The 20,311-nt window shown below is 39.5% G+C and overlaps 1 protein-coding gene, 1 long non-coding RNA gene and 1 pseudogene across 7 annotated transcripts in view; 1 reads left to right on the top strand and 2 right to left on the bottom strand.

Annotated features, from left to right (window-relative positions):
• DLC1 (DLC1 Rho GTPase activating protein) overlaps nt 1–20,311 on the bottom strand; it is a 521,260-nt gene that overhangs the window by 253,907 nt on the left and 247,042 nt on the right. The gene's annotated exons all lie outside the window — the stretch shown is intronic.
• On the top strand, nt 1,071–20,218 carry LOC101930149 (uncharacterized). Its single transcript, XR_007060830.1, has 4 exons — nt 1,071–1,486; nt 2,180–2,223; nt 19,221–19,275; nt 20,076–20,218. It is a non-coding gene; the product is annotated as an uncharacterized LOC101930149 (long non-coding RNA).
• On the bottom strand, nt 16,130–16,341 carry MTND4P7 (MT-ND4 pseudogene 7; annotated as a pseudogene).

Raw genomic sequence — 20,311 nt, forward strand, 5'->3', positions numbered from 1 at the left:
TTCTGAGTTAGTAAAGATATTTCTGATTCAATTACAATTACTTTTAAATGAAATTACTAATTATCTGTCCGATTTCAGAATAATGGATTACCTAATTTGTAATTAAGGATGAATTTACTAATTGCTACAAAAAAATAATTAGTCCAATATTTTCAAAGGTCATGTTGCAGAATGACAACATATTCTAGGAAATTTGTATTTTGTGGTTATTTTTAATGCCCTGATTTGATTTGACAATCACATTAACATCATGAATTGTAAATAGATGGAAAAATTAGGGCACAGATTCTGATGCCTATCCACACTGCTCAATTTTCTGTGTGAATATCAGAGAATTTAGGAGGATAAGACAAAATTGTAGGAAAGACAACTTATAAGAAATCTAAATTTCCAAGATAATGTATATGTAAGAATATGTACATATGTAATTTTACCTACAGAGCATCTTTCCCATCCGTTTTGGTACAATAAAGCTGGAAAATGTACCATTACTGTTGTTTAACAGGGATAGATTCTGAGCAACAAAGAAAAGTATAATACCATATTAACTAAATAATTGAATTAAACAAGAGTGTAAAGAAGTGAGTAGTTCCACTCTTTGTACTGCTAGTGATATAAACTCCATGAAAAAAATCCCCATATAGGAATTGTATATGCAATTTATTACACTTCATTCATTTATTCTTTCTATCAATACTGATCCCCTATCATACGTTGAGTAGTATACTTCAGTGTTCCTAGCCAGATAGTATAGCTAGAGGAACTTAATATGGTAGTTAAATGGAGAGTTTTCCTCTAAGTTGCCATAACATTGCTTTGCAAATAGTTCTGTGCAATTGAAAGAACCTGGACTGGCTGCAATTTTGTCCCCACTTGCTTTTGACCTTAGATGGGACACTTGGTTGTTCTTTCCCTTAGAATCCACCTCTTGGGGACTGGGATGATAATCTCAACCAGTCACAGGTTTGTGGGAAAATCAAGTGAGACAATTTACGTTACAGGTGGTTAAAAATAAATTAGAGTCACAAAGCCATGGTTCGAAAAAAATACTATTTTAGTTTAACTGGAAATAATTGTGGTTGAGGCTGTAGCTGGCACCCTAGCTGAGCTCAAATCCTGAAGTTAAGAGTTGCTGCATTGGGCCCTTGCTTGATTTTTATTAGAAAAGAATAAATCATTCTGCAATTTACTGCTACAAAAAGAGAAACTCTCCTTACTGTAGTGGAACATATTACATATTATAAAAACCAAGTTTAGATACCAATTAAGCAAATAAATATTTAGTGAGCATTTATCCTTTACCAATGACTCTTTTTGTGAAGACACAAAGATGAACAAGCTCTGATCCCTGACTCTGAGAAGTTCAGTTCTGAGAAGTCTATTTCCCATGTCCCCACACCTCATCTGTACGTGAAGATAAGCCAGATGGTCTTGAAGGGCTCACCTCATCCCAAAAACCAGTGGTTCCACACCCAGATCACAGGAGGTGAGCTACCTGCCCAACTAGCGACATGGAATCTTCAGCTTACTCAATTATTGAAATAATTGAGTAACAATAAATAGCCTTTGTCTTTTGCAGGTGGAAATCAAAGAATTTCACAGAAATCAGTAATTGTCAGAAACATCGATAATTTTACTTTTGTACCCTTTAATTATTTTGCACACAAAATATGTGTAGGTTAACCAAGCAATTAAATAAAACACACATACTGATTTGAATTTTTATACCAGAAGCACTTCATATGTAACAATGCGTATATCTGGTAATAAGGAAAGGTAATTTCTATGAATACGGGCTCAGTAAATGTTTGCAGAATGATTGGTAATGAATTAATTAACTGAATCATTCCCTTCCTTGTCAAATAGGAATTATGCAAACCAAACTACTTTTGTCATCAGTTGCCATGAGATTAAAAGACATTGAAATGATGCACGTAAGAAAAAATTTCAAAGTTAAAAACAACTATGCAAGTGATAGAATAATTGGCTTCCAACTCACGGAGGACAAGGCACAATATGTGATTTTTCTGGCTGCCAGCGACAACCTTCTAGGGTATTTGTAATAACAAGAGGAGGCTTGTGAAGCAATTAGCAGGGTGCCAGGCAAATAGCAAGTGCTCAATAAATACAGCATCATCTTTCAATTATCTAGCTTTAAGTTACCATATTTTCCTTTTAGAGACTACATCTCTAGGAATCATCACACCAGGCAACAGATTACAGGTGAGTATTTTAGATATTTTGTTGATACTTGTGTGCTGTTTTAAAATCACATTTGGTCTCTGGTAGGACACAGGGCAGAGATGCCCTGTCATTATGTCGCCTGTTTTGAAATAAGGAGAGTAGGTGGCTTTCATCTTCAGAAAATTTGCTTAACAATCAGAACCTCTAAAATTGCATGCCAAGTTTATTTGTGCATATGTATTTTTTTGTTAAGAAAATAATCCCTAGCTTTCATAAAATACACAAAGAGATTGTGATTCTCTCCAAATTAAAATTACTTGTATAGAAAGCCTATAGCAATTAGATAGTTTACAAAGTTTTTCACTCATGGCTCAAGGACTTGTATTCATTTCTTTCTTCTTTCTTTCATCCACTCACTTAGCAAATATTGATTGAATGTCCGCTATGTGCTAAAAGCAGGGAAAATCCAGCAATAAATAAAACATAAAATTCCTGCCATAATCCTCGGGAGACAGGCAAATAAGCAACTGACTGAAGTAGAAAATCAGGTAGCAGTAAAAGTGAGGAAGGGATATGAAGCAGAAGTGGAGTGGAGCATTCTGAGTGGGGTGGGCTTGGGCGTTAGGGCTTCAGACAGGAGATCAGGGAAGGAGGTCCTGGGGAGGAGGCCGGAATGAAGTCCAGGAGAAAGCCACTCTCATATCTGGGTGAAGGGCATTGCAGGCACTATTTGAGGCTTGGTTTCATTTTTTATTTTTATTTTTTTTGAGATGGAATCTCACTCTGTTGCCCAGGCTGGAGTGCAGGGGAACCATCTTGGCTCAATGCAACCTCTGCCTCCCGGATTCAAGCAATTCTCCTGCCTGAGCCTCCTGAGTTGCTGGGATTACAGGTGCCTGCCACCATGCCCCACTAAGTTTTGTATTTTTAGTAGAGATGGGGTTTCACCATGTTGGCCAGGCTGGTCTTGAACTCCTGACCTCAAGTGATCCACCTGCTTCAGCCTCCCAAAGTGCTGGGATTACAGGCGTGAGCCACTGCACCTGGCCTCATCTTTAATTTTTTAATGCTGACTTTTCTCTTGCATATGGTCTTGCTTACTTTTTGTTGCTACTTAAAAAAACAAAAACAAACTATTTTTCTTTCACAGGCCTAATGGATGTAAATTTCTGCTCCTAATTTCCTTTCCCCTAAACAAGGATGTTTGACTAGCTGATTCTTCAAAACGTTAACATGTGTAGTGGCTATTGTTTTATTGTTGTTATAAACTTCACAGGTTTCAAAGCTCTCCCAAACTCAGTAACAATCTGGCCTATGCCATAAATTCCCTAATTCATCCAACAAATTTTCACAAAAGAGTAAAATATATGCCCTGGCTTTGGAAGAACTTAAAAATCTAACAGATATATAATTCTTGGAAAGTTCAGCCATCCTCTATGGCTGCGCCCAATTGCAAGGGAATTATTCCTATTTCTTAGGGTAGTTTTACCAGCGTCTAACTCGGCTGGCACCCATGTCATGGTGCTGACAAAGGCATATTCACATCGAGCTATGGGGATATTCAGGGTCAATATTGAGACTCATGGTGGGGAGAAACGTGTGTTCAGTAGGATTTGAAGGAAGGATTTAAAATAATGTGCTGAGGATCAGTTTTCAGCAAAAGTACTGTTTTTCACATTGAACTAATTTCTTTAGCTTATAACCACAACACTGAGCAAAAAACACCAATAACAAATGCATAACAAAGACAAAAAGAAGAGAAAAGAAAGACCTCACGAAACTGCAAAGCTTGATGATCCTACCATATATAAAAGAACCACTGGGAATTGTCTAGTCTAGAAATGAAAATCATGATGCAGGAATGCAGCTATGAGTGTCACTTGGAGCTTTGGGAACGGACATGTGCTATGCCTTCAGCTTCGAGCAGTTCTTGAACTCCAGCGTGCGTCAGAATCACAAGGAGGGCCTGTTAAAATGCAAGTTACTGGCCCCCACACATGGTTTCTGATTCACTAGGTTTGGGGCAGGGCCTGGGAATTTTTAATTTCTGACAGTTCCTCGAATACGCTGCTGCTGCTGGAGTCCGTTTTGAGATAGGGTGCCTTTGAGAATTCCCAGGTGGCCCAGATGGGAGAATCGCTGCTGGGCTTCAGAGGATGTCCCAGCAGTTAGAATGTTGTAAGGACACGTCGCAGAAAGCCTTGAAAGCAAAGTGGCCAGGTTGTGACTCTGGTAGGCAAAACAGGCAGGTTCATCCTCCTGGTATGCAGCTACTGAGATGCAAGGTGCTTTTTAAACATTGTGCAGCTCTTAGATTGGTGCCCCAGGGAAGGACAGGCCCCATCAAGGCTAGCCAAGAGCAGATTGATTACATCTGTGGCCAAAGTGTAGGCGATAAAATGTCATCCATCAGATTCTCTAATCACCGGTGAACATGAAATAAGGCAAATCAGCTGAAGAGTCTTTCAGTAAGTAAAAATAATAAAATGCCTAAACTGCTTTCTATTCTACAAGCTAAGTGGTATTTATTTTAGTAATAAAGATGCTCTTTAAATGAAAATGCATCAGATCGAGAGGATACATTTGGCCAGTGTGAATTAAAAGAGTTTATATGCATTCATTCTGTGAATTCCAAAACAAAAACTATTTCTGATCTTGAAGAATCTAACCATGACCAATGAGGTATCATGAAATTAAAGTTCTACATTTTCCTCTGTGTAATAAATATGAACTACATGACAGGTAATAGGAACTACTTTATTTACAAACTATTCAATGCTTACACTGAAAAACAGTCACCTCCTATTTCAGGAAAAAGTGTTTCAAACATGCAGAAAATTTGGAGAAAGCTCTGAAAAAATTATCTATATGATTAGAATAGCAAGAAAAGCAAACCATTTGGACAAGCAAGAGATATATGATGGTTAATTTTATGTGTCAACTTGGCAAGGCTATGGTGCACAGTTGTTTGACCAGTCTAGATATTGCTGTGAAAGTATTTTTCAGATGTGATTAGTATTTGAATCAGTAGGTTCTGTGTAAGGCAGAGTAGGCTTTGTAATGCAGGTGAAACTCATCCAATCAGTTGAAGGCCTTAAGAGGAAAGACTGAGGTTTCCTGAAGAGGAAGGAATTCTGCCCTAAGACCGCAACATAGAAATCCTGCTTGGAAATTCAAGGAATTGGGACTAAAGACTGCAAGATCAACTCTTAGCAGAACTTCCAGGCTGACTGCTTGCTTTATGGATTTTGGACTTGCCAGCCCCACAATTATGTAAGCCAAATTAAAATCTCTCTCTTCCTGTCTCTCTGTTTGCCTCCAACATATCCATCGGTTCTGTTTCTCTCTCTCTCGCTTTGCCTCCAACATATCCATCAGTTGTGCTTCTCTCTCTCTCTCTCTCTCTCTTTGCGTCCAACATATCCATTTGTTTTGTTTCTCTGGAGAATCCTAATACAACATACATCAATGACAAGACGAATTAGCTGCAGTTGTTTGACTTCAGACTGTCTTTTGTGTGACTTGGTGAACCAAACAGTAATTTCTGACTGCTTGAGAGTAATTTAATTTTCCCGTTAACGTTAATCATCTCCACCCTTTACTTATTGAAAAGCAGAGATACTTATTTGCTATATACTGCTGATATTTTTGTGAAACAGGCGCACTTGTGACTTCTATAATTTCTTTGGCTTGGAAGCTACAAAGAAAGGTGAATTTATGATTCTTCAGTGATTTGATTTGTTTGAGTCAGAGATTGGGTCATCCATGAATACCCGGCTTCCTCCAGTTAGTTCATGTTGTTTGCAGCCTTAAGTGTAGATACACCAAGTAATTATTCTGAGCAGAAAGTGATGGCTCATAGTCCTGAGACAGGAACAGCATGTACAGGGGCTGTCATTCTGCATAACTCCTGAGATTGTGCAGTGTGGTGTCCTCAATCAGTTATGATAACTGAATGGAAAAAAGCTTTAAAATTACATGTCTCTTTACACTGGGAGCTAATGTGCTGAAATAAAAGTTACAAGATGGGGAAGAAATGTATTGATTGTCTACTCTGCACAAGAATGTACTATGCTAGGTAATTTGGTTATATAATCTTATATGATTTTTAAACATGTTTGTACAGCAGATATTGTTGTTATCCCCATTTTGTCCATAAGAAAAAGAGGGTCTAGGATATTAAGTGACCTGCCAAAGTCAAGCTGTGAGTAAATGGAGGAATGTGGATTTAAGTCATATTTTATTCCAAAGCCTGTCCTCTTTTCCTACACTGGATCGCCTCTTGGTTAAAGTCAGCACTCTAAAAGCCTAAACATAGTTTTAAGGCCTTTGGTTCAATTGATGGAAATGTGATCCTGATTTTTCACAGTTGGCACCTTTTCTGGCCATTGGTCTGAAAATAAGGCTACAGTAGGTGAATCTAACATTTCTTATCATTTTTACATCTTTAGGGACCCAAATTTGAAATACTTAGTTGCTTAAGTTTCCAGAATCAAGGCATCAGTGGTCCAAGCCATCAAGATACTAGATTAGTATCATTTGCTCTGAGAAACTGGCAAAGATTTCTCAGAATCTTGGGATTTCTTCTGACTTGATATTCTCTGAACCTATGTTACTGTCCTACAAACTATTCATTTATTTGCTCCTTTTTCTTTCATTCAATACATATTCAGTACTTACACCAAAATTCTGTATCTTGAGCTGAAGAAAGTACAAAGATGAATTAGCTATAGTTCCTACCTTTAAAATACTTTCAATCAGCCTGGCCGTGGTGGTTCATACCTGTAATCCCAGCACTTTGGGAGGCTGAGGCAGAGGGATCACCTAAGATCAGGAGTTTGAGACCAGCCTGACCAACATGGTGAAACTTTGTCCCTACTAAAAATACAAAATTAGCCGGGCATGGTGGCACATGCCTGTAATCCCAGCTACTTGGGAGGCTGAGGCAGGAGAATAGCTTGAACCCGGGAGGTGGAGGTTGCAGTGAGCCGAGATCACGCCGTTGCACTCTAGCCTGGGCAACAAGAGTGAAACTCCATCTCAAAAAAACAAAACAAAACAAAATACTTTCAATCTACAGGGAAAGTTCTACTAAATAAGTAGAATACAGAGTACGGAGTGACAAGTGGCTTTTGGTGTTTTGCCACAAAGCAGCACCCGCAAATGAGTTCTCTAAAAAGGCTGGTAGGAATGGTTACTGATGAAGTGGTGCATAAGGCTAGCCACGAGGTCTCTATCACTATTATGATGATGACAGTGATTATAACACAAGATAGACTGAACGATTAGGAAAGCACGTGTGTGTAACAATATTTAGATTTTTTTCCTTGTGGCTCAGAATGAAAGGAAAGAGAGCAATAACGACAGTGGGTTTCACTTTGTAATTAAGTATAATTTGCATGTAGTGTGAAAGGAAAACAAAAACTAATTGTGTGCACACTTTTAACCTAATAAGTTTAGTCAACTTCTAATTGTTTGATTATTTAATCAAATTGGATAATGAGGGGATAAAGGGGAACGATAAAAACAAGTTATTCTGGAAGACTGAAGAGGTGCATAGAATCATATAATTCCAGGATAGTGAAGTAGAAAATGAATTTTAGGGTGAGTCCCTTCCCTGGCCCCGCCACACACATACTTATTTTGCAGACGAGGATTGTAATACTTTGGGTGGAGACTCATTTGTCCACGTGTGATATGGTTGGCTGGTGGAAGAAATTCATATAGAATTGAATTCTATATGAGGAATATAGAGGAAGCTTTAGGGATGGGACTTGTAAAACTGTTTCTCCTTCCCCAACTGTCATGTATTCCACCTAAAATGTCAGGAGTTATTGTAATAACAAGCAACTTGAGAATGAAGAAGAGAGTCGATTCAATTCCCCTATAGTGAAAACAGAGAGTCACCATTGCAGTGAGCGTAAAGAAAATGATTCTCCTTGAATCAATAGATAAAGGTTACCTGGGAGTGGCAATGAGGGAGGGAAGGAGCCAGGAGCCAGTTCATTTGGGGCTGAGGGAGTCCCAGGGATCTCTTGGAAGAGATACTGAGCATATGTGGTTAATCGACGATTATCTGAAATTTTTCACTCACACTTTTTTTTTTTTTTTTTTTTTTTGGAGATGGAGTCTTGCTGTATCACCCAGATTGGAGTGCAGTGGTACCATCTCAGTTCACTGCAACCTCTGTCTGCCTCCCGGCTTCAAGCGGTCCTCCTGCCTCAGCCTCCCGAGTAGCTGGGATTACAGGCACCTGCCACCACGCCTGGCTCATTTTTTATGTTTTTGGTAGAGATGGGGTTTCACCATGTTGGCCAGGCTGGTCTCAAACTCCTGACCTGAAGTGATCCACTCTCTGTGGCCTCTGAAAGTGCTGAGATTACAGGCATCAGCCGCTGCATCTGGCCATTCACGCTTTTGAATGCAAGAACAATTAAGCATAAAAAAGGTAGTTTTTATTTTATCTTAGGGAGGCTCATAAACCTTTGGTAGTTGTGTTTAAGGCATTGTTCATAGAAAAATTAGAAAACTTTGTTACTGGAAGTTTTGTAAGCTACTTTGTGATTTGTAAGTTTTGCACTGTGCATTTGTCGTTTCAGGTTTCATAAGCTAGATACTTGTCAATACATTAGGAAATGACTTTATAAGAATTTCAGATATGAGAAAAGCTCTTCAGAAATTATTACTTACTTGAGTTTTGCACTTTGGGATTAGATAGCCTTAACCTTGGTTAATATTATGTCACCTGTCTCTACAACTTGGTTAAAGTTTGAGTATACACAATTTTTTGATGTAAAGGGATTCACAGTCGTGTCAGAAGAGGCTTTCTCCATTCAGCTAAGGTTATTAACCATATTTCAAGTCTGCTAATTTGGAGGGAAAAACATTTGTTCATAATTGTAGTCTAATATTTTCCAGTTAGCACCAGGAACGAAACGTAGGCTAGTCTGAATTTGCAAACAAGTTGTCGTCCGAATGTTCACTTTCAAATCTGCTCTTTGGAACTCTGAAATCATTTTCTCACAGACGGCAAAAACTACCATGGTAGCTAGATTGCCAAGTCTGTTCACAAAGTCTATTTTAAACCATCACATATGTAAAGTTTAATTGTTCTAGTTCTTTGTAACTTGAGCGGCAGGTGCCACAAGAACTTGATGGCAAAGCAAGCATAGTTCCTCGAATGTAAAGGAACACATCTCATTGTCCAGGCCGGGGATGTGTCCAGAGAAAGTGACAGAGGGCTGGAGTGGGCTTGCCAATGAAAACCCCCCTTTGTCAGTCTCCTTTTTATTTCAAGCCCCTGTTATTGGCTCTCTTGCTTCCCTTTTCCCACTGTAGCAGATATTTCTGACAAGGTTCTATCTCCTCTTGGATCCAAAACAGGAGGATATATATGAAAACCCAGACAACAGCAGTCCCCATTTATCCATGGTTTCACTTTCTCCGGTTTCAGTTACCTGTGGTCAACCGTGGTCTGAAAATAGTGAGTACAGTCAAGATATTCTGAGAGAGAGTCCACATTCCTATAACTTTTATTACAGCATCTTGTTATAATTGTTTTATTATTAGTTACTATTGTTAATCTCTTGCTGTGCCTAATTATAAACTAAACTTTATCATATGATGTATGTATAGGAGGAAACATAGTATACACAGGGTTTGGTACTATCCGTAGTTTCAGGCACCCACTGTGGGTCACGGAATATGTTCCCCTTTGGAAAATGGGGGACTAATGTATACTGTTTTGGGTATTTTCTAATCATTTTGGAAAACAGAGAGAAACAAGTATGTGGCTATGAAATCAATCTTTCTAGTCCATATCTCTATCTTGCTTTTTGAAAAACAAAACCACATTCAGTAATAATGGTGATGAATAAAGTTTTATCTACATTTCTGAGGGCCACCTGACACAGAGAGCCCTAAACATATCATCGCTAGAGCTCAAGGATGTGCAGGTGCTGGAGGACGGGAGCAGCAGGGCTGGACACTCCTTGAGTAGTGGTGTCGGGGATGGGGCATGAGAGAGGGGCAGGCTTGGGAATTTAACCTCTCCTCTGCCACATACAGCCCATTCCATATAATGATCATTCTTCCTGTGTATATTTAAGACTTGAATTAGTTTGAGGGTTAGAGGATAGTCCTAGGCACCAGAAGATGGAGTTGAAAGATAAAGAAAAGTGGCTGTAGTTTTTTTCTGGTCACTTCCAGGATGCCTGGGCCATAAACAAATTGGGAAAGATGGACAGGTCACAGTCTCTCTCCTATATGGGCACAGAAGCATGAATAACTCATTTCAACATATGAAGTAAGTATAGGTAAGGTGCTTTTTATAAGAATACAGAGTAGAGGCCCTTAATCTTCCAGGGAAAGGGCATTAAAACATGCTTCCTGGCTTTGTGAGTCCAAGGCAGGTGGATCACAAGGTCAGGATATCGAGACCATCCTGGCTAACACAGTGAAACCCCATCTCTACTAAAAATATAAAAAATTAGCCGGGCATGGTGGCAGGCACCTGTAGTCCCAGCTACTTGGGAGGTGGAGGCAGGAGAATGGCGTGAACCCGGGAGACATAGCTTGCAGTCAGCCGAGATCACGCCACTGCACTCCAGCCTGGGCGACAGAGCAAGACTCCATCTCAAAAACAAACAAACAAACAAATAAACAAACAAACTTCCTGGAGAAGATACCAGATACCACTTGCAGGGGATTTTATCATCTTGTGTATATGTGGAGGGAGAGAAAAAGGGTATTTGTGCCAGGAGGTGGGATACAGCCTGGCTTCCGTGTGAGTAATATGTGTGTGGTTGAAGGTTGGGCATGAGAAGTTCCATGTTGCTGGAGTTTCAGATATATTATGGGGCAAGCGGTAAAAAACTAAACTAGTGATATAGGCGGTGCCAGCTCATTCAGGGCCATGAGCCACACACAAGGTAAATATTATTCTTTAGAGGATAGGGTCCTACTGAAATTTAAACATGTGACATTGAGAGATTTGCATTTTGGATGGATGATTTGGGAAATGTGTTGGAAGTAGATTTAGGGATGACAAACTGGAAAGGATACCAGTTAGAAGGTTGTTGCTAGAGTCCATAAGAAAGATGATGAACACTTTTTGACGACCATCTTTAGAATATTAATAGGAATGGAGGGCATGGTTTTAAATGTAAAGTGTTTAGGTCCTTCTGGTTAGAAAATCACAGAAGAAGCAGATTCACCTATCTTAAAGCCCTCTCAAAACACATTATAGTGAAGAAGGAAGAAAGAAAGAAAATGAATACATGAGAAAAAAATGGAAGCGAAGGTAACAGGAAGACACAGATGTAATGCAAACCATATCAATAGCATTATTTCTCTGGAAAGTAGGTGGACTGTTGGCAGCTATGCTAAAGGCTGCAGAGAGCTGTATTCTCAACCTTCTTGAGGAGGGCAGTGGGGATGGGAAGTCAGTAAGAGGGAAGCATATTCTTTGAGCTGGAAAACGGAAAGTGCTCAGAAATTGGAGGCAGCAGCCGCTCTGGAAGGTGGTGACAGGCATAGGGAGATGAAAAGAGAAGTGACTTTATATGTAGCACTAAGATTCGTAGATCTCCAACCCCAGGCTGCACAGTCGATTTCCTGTCCGCCAATTCAACAGGAGACAGGAAGTTTACTCTCTGGAGACACTAATCAGATAGGTTGTGGACCCAAGGATGTTGGGCAGAGCTGAGGGCAGGATGAGGTGCAATGGGGGAAATATCAGTGCAATACCATTAAGAAGGTTGTTGCACGAGTCCCTAGGAAAGATGATGAAGACCTTTTGAAGACCATCGTTATATGTTAATAGGAATGGAGGGTATGGCTTTAGATGTAAAAAGTGTTTAGGTCCTTCTGGTTAGAAATCACAGAATAAGCAGATTCACCTATCTTAGAGCCCTCTCAAAACACATTATAGCGAAAATGGAAGAAAGAAAGAAAAAAACGGAATACATAAAGTAAAAAATGGAAGCAAAGGTAACAGGAAGACACAGAAGTAACACAAACCTTTCACTTGCTCTTTCACAGAGCATTTGAGAAACTTCTCAAACAGAGCTGGGTCTCAACCAGATCACCAGCCACCAGGAAACACGTTTTAGAGTGTTCCCTTCCAGCCCCACTTCAACACAAGCATTAGTCAATTTTCAGTGACTTATCTTTACATAGAAACATATAGCCAGAGCTCACCAGGTATATAAGGAAAGTCCCTAACACGAAAGGATTTGTTGCTGATGGTGTTGGGTGAGGTAAGGAGGGTAAACGAAAGCTGAACAAATTCTAGTATAAGTGATCAATCCAAGTGAATTGCTAGATTAGGCAACAGGAAGGAGAATCTAGAAAAGGGGCAAGTATCTTGTGGGGAGACATGAGGAGGAAAAAGAAAGTGAGTTGCACTTTAGATATTATGGGTTTGGAGGTGAATGTAGCCACAGGATGACTGGATCCAGCTGCATATGGACTCTCTCTTTTTCCTCCGACTTCAGTCTCTGAGACCAGCTTTTCCATACAATGGGGGATATGGCTGGAGACATATTGGGAATTAAGTCCTTTAGTCTGTGATCAGAAACTAAAATAGTCTTTCTTGATGAGTCTGAAGAATTTTAGTGACATTAAGATGATCCTGGCCAGATCAAATGACGCCTCTGTGGCCAGAGGCTGGATCTATTACCTGAAGTGCTTAGAGGACAAAAATAATACATGCCACAGCTATTCCTTCTTCTTACAAAATATATTTCCTTCTTTTAAGGCCCACTTTTAAACATACCCTAACGATAGATTTTTATAACTCCCTTATCTCGATATCATTTAGCGTTCTTCCATAACACCTCAGGTTTATCATTTTTTTTTTTGTTCTTTGTCATTTACTGCATGTGGTTGAAGTTTTTCTTGTGTATTTGCTCTATCTCTTTTCCAAGACTATAAGCTCCTTATGTGAAAGTATGAAGTGCTAAGTATAAAGAAAAACACCAGGCCAGGCGTGGTGGCTCACGTCTGTAATCTCAGCACTTTGGAAAGCCGAGGCAGGTGGATCGCTTGAGGTCAGGAGTTTGAAACCAGCCAGGCCAACATGGCCAAATCCTGTCTCTACTAAAAATACAAAAATTAGCCGGGCGTGGTGGTGGCCACCTGTAATGACAGGTACTTGGGTGGTTGAGGCAGGAAAATCGCTTGAACCAGGGAGGCGGAGGTTGCAGTGAGCCTAGATGGCACCACTGCACTCCAGCCTGGGCCATGGAGCAAGACTCGATCTTAAAAAATAAATAAATAAATAAATATAAAGAGAAACACCAGAAGGTTTGTTTCTAAATGGAAATTGTTCATATTAGAATAGTCAGCTTGGAAGGTGGTAGCCTTTAGTGATTCTATTGCTCACACCTTGCATAGAAGCCGCTCTTGAAAATTGTTTTCAAGTATAATACTCATTCTTTTGAGATCTTGTTTTGAAATATTTGTCCTTTTGAATATATTTATATTTTTAAACACTCAAATCTCTGATGAAATTCATGAAGTAGACTTTCTGAAGTAGACTTTTGATACAGATGCTTGGTTTTGATTTGGATTTTTGAAATAGCCTAATTTAGGGACAGTTTTCATGAATAAGGTAGAGGACTCTCATGTAATAAGGTTTTCTTCCATGGTTTGTAAATTGGCTTCAAAATTCTTTCTAAATATTTTCAAATAACGAGGCTATTTATTCAGCAAACATGTGTATAGTATCTGTTCTATACAAGCACAGTCCTAAGTGCTTTATATGAATTGATTCATTTATCCCTACAATAGACCAAGGGGAAAAGGATTATTATCCTCATGTTATAGATGAAGACACTGAAGCACAAAGAATTTAAGTAACTAATGTCACAAACTAGGAAACAGTTGGGATTCAGTCCGAAGTTCATGGACTTCACACTGGTGATATGCTACACTGTCATTGCAATGTTAGTTTTCCTATATAATTACTTAGAAAAGGATTGCAAATATGCCTTCAGCCAAATCTGCCATTTCCCCAGTTTTGATATATCTTGTGAACTACATTTTTTGGATGTTTGGAAAAAAAAAGTGACAGAATATATTGTGACCCATAAAAATCACAGAAAATAGAAATCATAGTGTCCACAAGAACACATAGTGTCCACTGGAACACATCCATGTACATTGGTTTGTTTATGTATTGTTTATGTGACGTCTGCACTACAACAGCAGAATTGAATACGTGGGACAGAGACTGGAGAGCCCACAGACTTAAAATATTCACTATCTGATCCTTTATAGAAAAAGTCTGCCAAGTCCTGATTAAGAAAAATAATAATTCCCTGGATGTCTATGTTCTGACACACTTCTCAAAAGAAATTCCAAAGGAAACCAATTTCAATGGTTTCTATCACAACAATTTGATTTTTTTAAATGAAATTAATTGTCATGAATATAATAACATATCCATTAATGCAGTAACATAGAGACGGTGTTTCACCATGTTGGCCAGGCTGGTCTCGAACTGCTGACCTCAGGTGATCTGCCCGCCTTGGCCTCCCAAAGTGCTGGGATTACAGGCATGAGCCACGGTGCCCAGCCATATGTCTCTATTTAAAATAACATTTATGTCTTGTTTACATTCATTTATTTTTAAAATGTAGCTTTTGGGGGTAGCTTCTGAGTTAAGACAACTGTTTACAAGACACTGTTCAATGAAAGCATCAGTCATTGTGATCCTTGTTGGCAGCCACATGGTGCACGTGGATGCGCTTGTTCCGAACACACGCACGGCCCTCTCGGCCTCACCGTCACATGCACATGCATAGAAAGTCAGCAAAAGCAACAGGAAGTAAAGGGAGAGCCTTTGATCCATTCAGCTTCATAAGTGCATTTGCTTTTATTTTTTAAATTTAAATGTATTATTTTATTTTGTATTTTTTTACGAGATGGGGTCTTTCTTTCTCTTGAGACAGGGTCTTGCTCTGTCACTCAGCTGGACTGCAGTGGGGTGATCACAGCTTACTGTAGCCTTGACCTCCTGGGCTCAAGCAGTCCTCCCACCTCGGCCTCGCAAGTAGCTGGGACTACAGGCATGCACCACCATGCCTGACTCATTTTTTATTTTTTGTAGAGACAGGGCCTCCCTATGTTGCCCAGGCTGGCCTCAAATTCCTAGCTCAAGTGATCTTCCCACCTCAGCTTCCTTAGTAACTGGGACTACAGAGGGGGCTACTTAGACTCCTGAATTTACTTTTAAGGTATAAAAATAATAGATTAACTCAGTCATTATTATGTTAATATGCATAATACACTGTTTTTTTGGAGAGGAAGAATCGTTAAGCAACTGTGAGAACAGTGATTAAGGAAAATATAAATTAAACTAGTGATCAAAACATTTACAATACTGAATGCACACCTACCAGGAACACGAGTATTTTAAAATACCCAAGTAATAACCTCATTCTGTGGAGAGGATAAACAAAATCTGAAATTACAATGTGGAAATACACTAAAAAAAATCCATCTTAGTAAAACACTAACAAGCAAAGCCCTACCATAAATCAATTTTTTATGAATCTTAGCCCTTTTTATTTTAAAATACCATATATATATAGTCCCAGATGATGTTACTCTGCTTCCTTAGTTTTTCTTAGTAACATAATTAACCTGAAAGGTGGCTGAAAGGTGGCTATACGTGGCTTTCCTCTTGTCTGCAAATGAGGCAGGTTAGAGAAGTTAAACCCAGGTGAGGCCTGCCCTGCCCATTTCTTGCAAGACGAACACCCAGGGAGAGGAAATGGAGGTGGACATTTTGATTAAAAGTTTTAGATCATCTAAAGATTTTTTTTTCCCTCAACTACATATGTGGCATTTCCTCTGAGTCAGAAGGAGAAAATGTGTTTGAATTCCTATAATATCTGTAAAAGACTTCACTGTTTGTGTTCTTAAAACAACAACAGGCCAGGCGTTCTGGTTGGTTGCCCCATTGAGTAATGATGACTAGAGTGGGAATGAGTGTGGTTTTGAAGAGAATATAGAATATGATTAGTTCTGTGGCAGTGAATGTTATAATCAAAGAAATTTGTAACCTATAATATCTGTAAAAGACTTCACTGTTTGTGTTCTTAAAACAACAACAGGCCAGGCGCGGGTGGCTCATGTCTGTAATCCCAGCACTTTGGGAGGCAGAGACGGGCGGCTCACCTGAGGTCAGGAATTCAAGACCAGCCTGGCCAACATGGTGAAACCCTGTCTCTAATTAAAATATAAAAGTTAGCCAGGCCTGTTGGCAGGTGCCTGTAAACCCAGCTATTTGGGAGGCTGAGGCAGGAGAATTGCTTGAACCCGGGAGGCAGAGGTTGCAGTGAGCTGAGATTGTGCCACTGCACTCCAGCCTGGGGGACAAGAGTGAGACTTCGTCTGGAAAAAAAAAAAAAAAGATTTTTCTCAAATACTTTGTAACGTGCCACACTATGAGTCAATGGCATAGTTCTTGATTTATTCAGTGATGGTTGAAAGTGAAAGAGGCTGATGGGTTCCTTCTGTGGGTCCACTGACTTTCTTCACATTTCCACTCCTTTGGACTCTGCCATCCAGACATACTGAACTTTTTTTTTTTCTTTTCTGTAATCAGCTGTGGTTTTGCCCTTCAGACCTTCAAACCTAGTGTTTACCCTGCCCCATGTCTTTGCTTGGCTCATTCCTATTGATCAATATTTGTTCATTTCACATAGTTGCTAAGATCTTACATATGCCAACCTTTTTCCAGGCTTTGCTAAAATGACTTTTTCTAGGAAGCCTTTCATGGCCTTCTAACTAGCCAAAACTCCTGCAGAAATTTGTACTTCTGTCTTGGCCTGTAATATACTTTATTGTCTGTGACTTCTAGTTTTATTGTCTTACAGGCTTGACTTTGAGCTTGGTGAAAGCAGGGAATGAGACTATCCTCCTCGCCTTAGTTATTTCCAGGGCCTAACAGTGTGTGTGTGGCAACGACTAGGTGCTGAGAGGATTTATGTAGAGTGAATGACAAAATAATTATAAAATATTTTAGTATGGGCATGGAAATAAATAGAATGTCTTTAGAAGTTAAAAAAATAACTGAACTTGTTTGGTTAAAATGCATTCACGCATCAAGCTCATTAGCACATTTCACTTTTCGGAATGCCACTAATACTTAGCTCATTGGTAAAGTTCAGCTATGTGCAAAAATGAAAATTTTAAATCGGGTCAGGTGTGGTGGCTCACATCTGTAATCCCAGCACTTTGGGAGGCCGAAGTGGGTGGATTGCTTGAGCACAGGAGTTCAAGACCAGCCTGAGCAACATGGTAAAACCCCATCTCTACAAAAAATAAAAAAAAAAATTAGCTGGGCATGGTGGTACATGCCTGTAATCCCAGCTGTTGGGGAAGCTGAGATGGGAGGATTGCTTGAGCCTGGGATACTGATATTGAGGCTGCAGCGGGCCGAGAATACCACTGCACTCCAGCCTGGATGACAGAGTGAGACACTGGCTCAAAAAAAAAAAAAAAAGAAAAAGGAAGAAAAAAGTTTAAATCAATGAATGTTCTCATTTCTAATGAAATAATGAAACATTATTGGGAGAGTTATAGTCATAATCATCTTACTGCACTATCAATTAAAAAATACATCATTTTTTAGAGCACAATATATACCATAAAGAATTAATTATTCAAATAGTCTAAATATTACGATCAAATTTTTAATAGACTTTGTTACTTAAACTAAAACTTATTATCTGTATTAGTCAGCTCAGTTGGGATTCACACCTGTAATCCCAACACCTAGGGGGGCTAAGGCAGGTGGCTCACTTGAGGCCAGGAGTTTGAGACCAGCCTAGCCAATATAACGAAACCCCATTTCTACTAAAAATATAAACAAATTATCCAGGCATGGTGATGTGCGCCTGTAATCTCACACCAGCTCAGGCTGCCATGACAAAATAACAAGCACTACGTGACTAAAACAACAGAAATTTATTTCTCACAGTTCTGGAAACTGGAAGTTTCAGATCAAGGTCTGGCAGGGTTCTGCTTCTCGTGAGGGTTCTCCTCCTGGCTTGCAGGTGGCCCCTCTCTGGTGGCTCTTCTTATAAGGACAAGAATCCTATCAGATCAGGACCCCACCTTCTCAGCTCATTTAATATGAATTACTTCCTTACAGCAAAAACAATTACATCTGGGGTTAGGGCTTCAATATATGAATTTTGCAAGGACCCAGTTCATTCCATTGCACAATCACTGTAGAACAACATTTGAAGTAATTCAACTTGAAGTCCTGGAAAGTATATTTTTTGGCATCTCTAACACAAAGTTGTACTGATTCATTTTCAAAAATCTTATTTTTGGCTCAGCATGGTGGCTCACACCTGTAATCCCAGCACTTTGGGAGGCTAAGGTGGGCAGATCATGAGGTCAGGAGATCGAGACCATCTTGGCTAACATGGTGAAACCCCGTCTCTACTAAAAAAAAAATTCAAAAAAATTAGCCAGGCATAGTGGCGGGCACCTGTAGTCCCAGCTACTCAGGAGGCAGAGGCAGGAGAATGGCATGAACTCAGGAGGCGGAGGTTGCAGTGAGCCGGGATCGCGCCACTGCACTGCAGCCTGAGTGACAGAGCAAGACTCCATCTCAAAAAAAAAAAAAAAAAAAAAAAAATCTTATTTTTTATTTTTAGTTAAGTACTTTTTTGATGATGCAGGGGAGTTTAATTCGAATAATAACCACTGACTTGGCATTATCTTTACAGGAATTGATAGCATTTGGCCAACTTCTATATTTCCTCTTGAACTTTGAATGTAACCTTATTTAGACTTTTAGACCTGGTCATGAACTCAGAAGTCATCCAGTCCAATTCCTTTATTTAAAGATGAGGAAATTTAGTCTTAAATAGCATAAGTTGTCCACATTCCTCAGAAAGATATTCAAAGCCGTTTACAGTTTGCCTCAATTGATACTTTAACAAAATTGTCCTTTATCCTATTCCATGTATTTTTTACCATACGAAATTCCTTGCCAATTATCTTTTCAGGTCCCACCTGAAGCCTATGTAGACATTTCTGCTTCCACACCCACAAAGAGAATTGGTAATTCCTTTCTTTCTGTCTCCTTAGAATTTTTCCAAATGATTGCATAATACTTCTTAAATTGTATCATAATAATCTGTGCTAATTTACATTCTACATTAAATTACGAGCTTCTTGAAGTCAGCAATTGGCCTCCACTGTTGCTAGCCCATGGTCTAGGGCTTTAATAAATGATTTCCAAATTTCATTTCTGAAAGCCATGTGGCTAATAAATTACACATCAATAACAGGAATTGGGGTCTCCGTACTTCCTGATCAATGCTGTTTCTATTCCTGGACCACACTTCACTCTTTTTTTTATTATTTTTTTATTTTTTATTATTTATTTATTTATTATTATTTTTTTACTTCACCCTTAAGATGTTAGTGTTAGGGTTGCAGAAAGTCTTGTAGGGTAGAGGATTTACAAGTACGAGTTCAGAGAAGCCTTAGGAAAGTCCTGCCCTGCTGGCCAGGTGATTCACGCCTGTAATCCCAACACTTAGGGGGGCTGAGGCAGGCGGATCACTTGAGGCCAGGAGTTTGAGACCAGCCTAGCCCATATAACAAAACCCCATTTCTACTAAAAATACAAAAAAATTAGTGGGGCATGGTGATGTGTGCCTGTAATCTCAGCTACTCGTGAGGCCAAGGCCCAGGAATCGCTTGAACCTGGGAGGTAGAGGCTGCAGTGAGCCAAGATTGTACCACTGCACTCCAGCCTGGGCAACAGAGTGAGAGTCTGTCAAACTGAAAGAAAAGTCCTGCCCTGGCTCCAGAGATTACATCCAAATTCACTGTTTGACACCTATGTGTTTCAGATGCACCATGTCAGAGAAAACTGTTTTATATGTCTTTGGACAAATTTACCCCAGTTTGACTTCTGCTGCTAAGACTCCAGCTTGCAGAGCTCTGCCAGGCCTGAGCCCCAGCACGTTGTGAGATGCTTTATATAGAAGAGCACTGATGACCCAAACAGATTAAAGGTCAGTGAAGTTAAGCCTGGGGTAATTGTTCTCTGAACTCTGGCACATTCTTACTGGGTTTCTGCTGTTTT

This window comes from Homo sapiens, chromosome 8, assembly GCF_000001405.40.
Source record: "Homo sapiens chromosome 8, GRCh38.p14 Primary Assembly".
Classification (NCBI taxonomy): Eukaryota; Metazoa; Chordata; class Mammalia; order Primates; family Hominidae; genus Homo; species Homo sapiens.